This window comes from Homo sapiens, chromosome 17 (assembly GCF_000001405.40).
Source record: "Homo sapiens chromosome 17, GRCh38.p14 Primary Assembly".
In the NCBI taxonomy this organism is placed as follows: Eukaryota; Metazoa; Chordata; class Mammalia; order Primates; family Hominidae; genus Homo; species Homo sapiens.
The window spans coordinates 29,552,125-29,560,546 of NC_000017.11; positions in this window are offsets into that span (position 1 = coordinate 29,552,125).

An 8,422-nucleotide genomic window follows, 5' to 3' on the forward strand; every position below is an offset into this window, starting at 1 on the left:
TTTGGTGGATCACCTGAGGTCAGGAGTTCGAGACCAACATGGCGAAACCCTGTCTCTACTAAAAATGCAAAAATTAGCTGGGTGTGGTGGCGGGCGCCTGTAATCCCAGCTACTCGGGAGGCTGAGGCAGGAGAATCACTTGAACCCAGGAGGCAGAGTTTGCAGTGAGCCGAGATCGTGTGACTGCACTCCAGCCTAGGTGACAGCGAGACTCCGTCTCAAAAAAAAAAAAAAAAAATATATATATATATATATATAAAAACCCTCTAGTCTAATTGGCTCGCCTTCTGTCTGCCCAGAGTGAAGTGGCCTATTGTGTTCTGGGTGTGAGATTATTCTAGTTGAAATTCTGACTGCTTGATGCAAGTTCTTACGTTTTATTTCTACCTTGTGGTCTGCATAACCACAACGCCGATACACGGAGCCATAAATGTAAGCAGTTCTCTTGGGTCTTGTACAAAGCCTCAAAAGGTGGTCTTATCTGGGCTTATCTCCCTAGATTTGAAAAATCACATTTTAGCCCTATGTGGGGGCAGTAAACCATGGAATCCAGTCCTATTTAAAACACTGTGACTTTTTTTTTTGTCAGAAGACTAATTCAGAGGGAGAAATGCTCAGGGGCTGGGATTTATGTTTTTTAATTTAAAAAGAAAATAGGGCCGGGCGTGATGGCTCAACCTGTAATCCCAGCACTTCGGGAGGCTGAGGCAGGCAGATCACCTGAGGTCAGGAGTTTTGAGACTAGCCTGACCAACGTGGTGAAACCCCATCTCTACTAAAAATACATGGTGAAACCCCGTCTCTACTAAAAATACAAAAAATTAGCCGGGCATGGTGGTGGGCTCCTGCAGTCCCAGCTACTCGGGAGGCTGAGGCAGGAGAACGGCGTGAACCCGGGAGGCAGAGATTGCAGCGAGCCGAGATCGTGCCACTGCACTCCAGCCTGGGCGACAGAGCGAGACTCCGTCTCAAAATTAAAAATAAATAAATAAATAAATAAATAAATAACAAAAATTAGCCAGGCGGTGGGTGCCTGTAATCCCAGCTACTAAGGAGGCTTAGGCAGGAGAATTACTTGAACCTGAGAGGCGAAGGTTGCAGTGAGCCAAGATCAGGCCACTACACTCTAGCCTGGGTGACAGAGTGAGGCTCCATCTCAAAAAAAAAAAAAGAAAAGAAAATAACTTTTGGGTTTTTTGTTTGTTTTTTTGTTTTTGAGGCAGCCTCTCTCTGTTACCCAGGCTAGAGTGTAGTGGCCTGATCTTGGCTCACAACAACCTCCGCCTCCCAGGTTCAAGTGATTCTCGTGGCTCAGCCTCTGAAGTAGCTGGGATTACAGGTGTGTGCCACCAAGCCCAGCTAATTTTTGTATTTTTAGTAAAGATGGGGTTTCTCCATCCTGGCCAAGCTGGTTGCGAACTCCTGACCTCAGATGAACCATCTGCCTCGCCCTCCCAAAGTGCTGGGATTACAGGCGTGAGCCACCACACCCAGCCAAGAAAATAGTTTTAAGTACCATTTTTAAAAGTATAATTTAGGTTGGGCCGGGCGCGGTGGCTCACGCCTGTAATCCCAGCTACCCCGGAGGCTGAGGCAGGAGAAAGGCGTGAACCCGGGAGGCGGAGCTTGCAGTGAGCCGAGATCGCGCCACTGCACTCCAGCCTAGTTTACAGAGCGGGACTCCGTCTCAAAAAAAAAAAAAAAAAAAAAGGATAAAGTATAATTTAGGTTACCTACCATATTGAAAAGAAGACTTAAAGTGGCAGTTTTTTAACTCCTAGAATGTCGACATTTGAACTATTTTGAGATTAACATTTCTATAGTGTTTAATTTGCTTGCCTCAAACAGCTGTGTGGCAGCCAGGTGCAATGGCTCATGCCTGCAGTCCTACCACTTTGAGAGGCTGAGGTGGAAGGATTGCTTGAGACCAGGAGTTTGAGACCAGCCTGGGCAACATAGTGAGACCCTATCTATCTACAAAAAAATAATAAAAATATTAGATGAGCATGGTGACACATGCCTGTAGTCCCAGCTACTTGGGAGGCTGAGGTGGGAGGATTGCTTGAGCCTGGAAGGTTAAGGCTGCAGTAAGCCATGATCATACCACTACATTCCAGCCTAGGTGACAGAGCTAGACTTTGCCTTGCAGAGCCAGGATTAGATCCCAGACCTCATCTCCAGTATTTTCAATATACCCACCTGAATTTGGACTAACTCAATGGGGTTAAAAAACAAGATTTCTAGGGCATAGAGGCTCATGCCTATAGATCCCCCCCTACTCAGGAGGTTGAGGTGGGATGATTGCTTGAGCCCAGGAGTTTGGTGTCCAGCCTGGGCAACATAAGGAGACTCCGTCTCTAAAAAAAGATTCTTTGTTTTCTCCTCACAATTGGGTTCTTCAAATTACAGTGGGATGAAAGATTCGAGTTATGCTTAGAATTTGAAATCTATCCTACCTGACTATAAAAGAAATTTGAACATAAAATTAGTCATGGGAGGTCGGGCACGGTGCCTCACACCTATAATTCTAGCACTTTGGGAGGCCAAGGCAGGCGGATCACTTGTGGTCGGGAGTTTGAGACCAGCCTGGCCAACATAGAGAAACCCTATCTCTACAAAAATACACAAATTAGCTGGGTGTGGTTGCGCATGCCCGTAGTCCCAGCTACTTGGGAGGCTGAGGCAGGAGAGTTGCTTGAACCCAAGAGGCGGAGGTTGCAGTGAGCTGAGATCATGCCACTGCACTCCAGCCTGGGCAACAAAGTGAGACTCTGTCTCAAAAAAAAAAAAAATTAATCACGATTGTCAGCTAGCTTCACAGCCCCTATGCCATCACCTACATCACATTTCGCCAGCTGCAGAATCAGGGTCTTCCTGTATGTGTCCTGGGCAATTAATGACTTTACCTTTTGCTACCCTATTTTCAGGTACTTGTTCTTAACGGATACAGGGAGAGAAGGCTGCTGAGGGTGTTAGCTCTGTGCAGGCTGTGCAGTGAAATTTAAAGGGTGCCATTTGTAGATAACGTGCATGGCTCCCCCCATGCAGTTGTGCACCCCGGCAGCTCTGAAGAGAGATACCCTGAAACCCCCACCTTTTTGTTAAAATCCTTTACATTTTGGAGTCCAAAATGGACATTGTTTAGTATCATCTCAGACAGTGATTAGGAAAAGGCAAATAATGTATGGCATAAAGAGCACTAATTTGGGTCTGGTCTTAGCCCCACCACTAACCATGAGATCTTAAAAGTCACATCGTCTCTGACCATCTATAAGAAATAGAAATGCAGATGGTTTTTGACAAAAATTGATGTGAAACCAATTAGCTGTGACATAGTATCAGTGTGTGTGTACATATATGGGGGTGGGGATGGGGAGAGTTTGTCCTCAACTGGGCAACCCAAACCCAACCTGTGAGGCTCAAAGGTGCTGCTCTTCCAGGCCCTTCCCAACTTTGCAGTGCAATTAATAACTGGAACTTCTTAGCCTTATAAGATGTTGATCAGAGAATAAAGACTGTGATTTGAAAGCAGATGCCCCTTCATCATGGAGGTCTTTGAGCTATGGCTGAGGAATTAGAGTCTTGGAGAATGGGATCTGTTTGCTATTAAGTATCTCATTATATCCTAACAGACCTTATAAATTAAGGCCTATACACATTCCCAGTCTTTTCATATGGAACAACTCATAAAATAACTTTCTCAGGGTCACTTAAGTCATAGATGAAGTAGAAACTGGAACCCACATCTCCAAACTATTACTTCAGTATCCTATCAACACACAAACACTGTTTGCCCACTGAATAATATATTTGTTGTAGGCACCATCAATGATCAGGGAATTGTGCGCCTGCTGGGAAATTATTAGCCCAGAACAGGAGACCTGGTTATTGATTAAACAGAGCTGCTGCTGGTTAGTGTTAGGCCACACGAGGCTAGATCTACAAAAGTGAGGCAACATCCAGTGGCTAGAGAATGTGCACTGAGGCTCTGCTAAACGCCACAGTAGGCAAGCATGGCTTAGTACACAGAAGACTTCAGAAGACAAACAGCACATATTTGTTTCTGGAGATTTAAAAAATAATAACATTCCAGTGTTACTGGGAGACTGATTTACTATTCAGAGACAAATAAGTTGGAGAGAAATTTTTTGTTCAACCATACTAAATACTAAGGCAAGGTATTGCATTATTACAAGGTAAGACTAGAGGGACTAGAGACTTACTTTTGATGCATGAGTGTCTTATTGTTTCAATGAAGTATCATTTTACCTTCAAAACTTTAGCTCCGGCCGGGTGCGATGGCTCACTCCTATAATCCCAGCACTTTGGGAGGCCGAGGTGGGCGGATCATGAGGTCAGGAGATCGAGACCACAGTGAAACCCCGTCTCTACTGAAAATACAAAAAATTAGCCGGGCGTGGTGGCGGGCGCCTGTAGTCCCAGCTACTCGGGAGGCTGAGGCAGGAAAATGGCGTGAACTTGGGAGGCGGAGCTTGCAGTGAGCCGAGATGGTGCCACTGCACTCCAGCCTGGGCGACAGAGCGAGATTCCGTCTCAAACAAACAAACAACAATAAAAAAAAACCTTTAGCTCCTCTGAGCAAGTGCGACTAGAGCATAATCATTGGCTATCTTAAAAATATACTCTGATGCCAGGTGTGGTAGCTCACACCTATAATCTCAGACTTTTGGGAGGCCGAGGTGAAAAGATCCCTTGAACCCAGGAGTTCGAGACCAGCCTGAGTAACATAGTAACAAACCCTATCTATACAAAAAATACAAAAATTAGCTAGGCATGGTGGTGCACACCTGTAGTCCCAGCTACTTAGGAGTCTGAGGTAGGAGGATCACCTGAGCTCGGGAGGTCGAGGCTGTGGTAAGCCATGATCACACCACTGGGCAATCCAGCCTGGGTGACACAGCAAGACCCTTTCTCTAAACAAAACAAAACACTCTGGGCTGGGAATGGTGGTGGCTCATGCCTGTAGTACCATCACTTTATGAGGCTGAGGCGGGAGGATTGCTTGAGCTCAGGAGGTTGAGGATGCAGTGAGCCAAGATTGCACCACTGCACTCTAGCCAAGGTGACAGAGCAAGACCTTATCTCAAACAAACAAAAACCACAGACACACACACTCACTCTGGTCACTTTGGCAGGGTTATTTTCATTAAAATTTATGTTATCTCTCAACTCCCAGGATCCTAGTCAGGTCTGTGGTTTTCTGATCCTTGAGCCCAGAAACCCACCTTAAGTTGTTACAAACACTAAGATCATTAGCATTATTTATTTTAATTCACAGACCTTAGATGAGAAGAAACTGGATATCTGATCTAGTTCATCCTCATTTCTTGCCACATGTTCTCTCCATGATATGTGCCAAGGGGCAGTCTAGCTTGAATATCCCACTGATGATGTGAGACTTACTGTTTCCTGAGGCATTCATTTAATCTCTGAGTACTTGGACACTCCCTATGTATAACTTCTCAAGCCTTCCTGAATGCACTCTTATCTCTGCAAATTGTGATAATGAGTCAAAGCAATTTCTGGTGTCATCCTTTCTGGCTTGACTGAAGAATCACAAATACTCCTTTTATTGGCATTGTTACCAAGTTCTACCAGAGTGGCCAAGTGTATCTGCTTGTTTAAGCAGGGAGAGGAATTCATGCTAAAATTCATCTCTAAAGGAAGATACCTTGGCATTCATTACTAAAGGTGACTGATTGAGAAAGGACCTTGTGGTTTGGGATGGAAGATGAGTACAGAGGAGTTTCTGACTCTAGGTGGTTCTGAGGTTATGTATAAAGCCAAGGTGACACTTCCTTGTTTTGAGACCTTTTCTCTTTCCTTTTTTTGAGACAGGGTCTTGCTCTGCTGCCCAGGCTAGAGTGCAGTGGCATGTTTACAGCTCACTGCAGACTTGACTTCCTAGGCTCAAGTGATTCTCCCACCTCAGTCTCTCTAGTAGCTGGGCCTACAGGCATGCACCACCATACACAGCTGATTTTTGTATTTTTTGTAGAGACAGGTTTTCACCACGTTGCCCAGGCTGGTCTCAAACTCCTGGACTCAAGCGATCCACCCACCTCAGTCTCCCAAAGTGCTAGGATTACAGGTGTGAGCCACCATGCCTGGCCAAGGCCTCCTTCCTTCCTTCCTTCCCTCCCTCCTTCCTTCCATCCTTCCTTCCTTCCCTTCTTTCTTTTTCTTTCTTTCTCTTTCTTTCCTTCCTTCCTTCCTTTCTTTCTTTTTCTTTCTTTCTTTTTCTTTCTTTCTTCTTTTTTTCCTTTCTTCTTTCTTTCTTCTTTCTTTTTCTTTCTCTTTATTTCCTTTCTTTTTTTCTTTTTTTTGAGACGGAGTTTTGCTCTTCTTGCCCAGGCTGGAGTACAATGGCGCAATCTTGGCTCACCGAAACCTCCACCTCCCGAGTTCAAGTGATTCTCCTGCCTCAGCCTCCCAAGTAGCTGGGATTAGAGGCATGCACCACCACACCTGGCTAATTTTGTGTTTTTAGTAGAGACGGGGTTTCTCCATGGTGGTCAGGCTGGTCTCGAACTCCCAACCTCAGGTGATCCACACGGCTCGGCCTCCCAAAGTGTTGGAATTACAGGCGTGAGCCACTGCGCCCGGCCAAGACCTATTTTCTATCAGTATCCAAGTCTTAGGATATCGTCACTCAAAACAGAGATGATGTCTTCTCAGAGAATTTAGTGCTGTATTTTTCATACTGTCATCTCCAGCCAAGCCACCCTGGAAATCTATGTATAAATACATAAAATACTAAATTATGAGAATTAAGTTATAGCTTAGCACAATCTTGATATCAGAGATCAGAACTTAGAACTCACAGAAAATTTCAGAAGCAGTTGTCTGCTTTCTGCATTCTGATCCATGGCTAGAGACAGAGGACTCAATTGCCACTTCTGAATTAATGCCTCCCTTTAGTCATTGGCTTTTTGTTTTTGCTTTATTGTTTTCATTATGATTTTGAGACAGGGTCTTGCTCTGTTGCCCAGGATGGAGTGCAGTGGCGCAGTCTCGGTCCACTGCAGCCTCTGCTTCCCAGGCTCATGCGATTCTCTCACCTCAATCTCCCAAGTAGCTGGGACTACAGGCGTGTGCCACCACACTCAGATGGAATTTCACCATGTTGGCTAGGCTGGTCCTGAACTCCTGGACTGAAATGATCTGCCTGCCTCGGCCTCCCAAAGTGCTGGGATTACTGCACTTTGCAGTGAGTCACTGCACCTGGCTCGTTTCCTTATTTGTATTCATTTTTTTATCTTACCATTTGAAGGTGTTGGTAAATAACGGACACCAAAAAGGAGGCAAGCAAGTAATGAGGCCTGAAGATTACTGAAGACCCACCACCTGGAAAGTCCAACTCAGTGGTTCTTAGGTGTTCGGGAGGGGCTCACTGAAGTCTCGACCTCCAGGGCTGAAGCAGTGCTACCGCCTCAGTCTCCCGAGTGGCTGGGACTACAGGGTGCACCACCATGCCTAGCTAATTTAATTTTTTGTAGAGATGGGGTTTTGCTATGTTGGCCAGACTAGTCTCGATCTCTTGGCCTCAAGTGATCCTCCCACCTCAGTCTCTCAAAGTGCTGGTATTGCAGGTGAGAGCCACTGTGCCCCGCCTATTGTTTGGTTTTGTTGTTTGTTTCTTGCTTCCTCAAACTCATAACTTGCCATTTTGTTCAAGGGCCACCCATTCACAGAACAGTGTGCCTGGGGCTCCTCCAGCTGGCTTCACACAATTAGCTATTTACCAAAGCAGAATTCACCTGTGTGATTCTTGAATCATTAGGCTAAAGGACAGGGCCATCCAAATCTTTCCTGCTTGAACAGAAATTACACTTTCTCAGCACAAAACAGGCATTTCAGCCCTAGTCTTCAAGTAGTAATGGGAAAATCAGAGAATGTTCTTGGGATATGCAGTGGGTGCATCTGGCACAAGGGCCACGGAAGAGAAATACTTTAGGGTTCGGGTCACTAGAGTTCAGGGTTCAAAGGAATTAATGGAACGTGAACTGGGGCTGATTCTGCCATTCTTCTGACTGTAACTACAAAGTTTATACATTTCTCTCCCTGGAAAACTTTCTTTCCTATCAAAAGGGAAAGGAAAACCAACCACTATTTCTCCAAAAGCTATTCTCTTGAAGAACCAGAATCTTGCATTATCTGGATAGTTTCTAGAGAAACTATGCAGATTTTCACCCTTAGGGACTCTTTAAGCCTTAGGGTTTAAAAACCACTAGGCTGCTTCCCATTTTGCAGGGCAACTGGGACTACGGGACCCTAATTAACTGAAATCCTCACTGTACCAGATGTGGAGGGCAGCTGGTGGTAGCGGATGGCCAGATGGCAGTAAATCTCCCTCACCAAGGCTTACACCAAGGCTGTTGTTCACCGGCAGTAGAGCAGC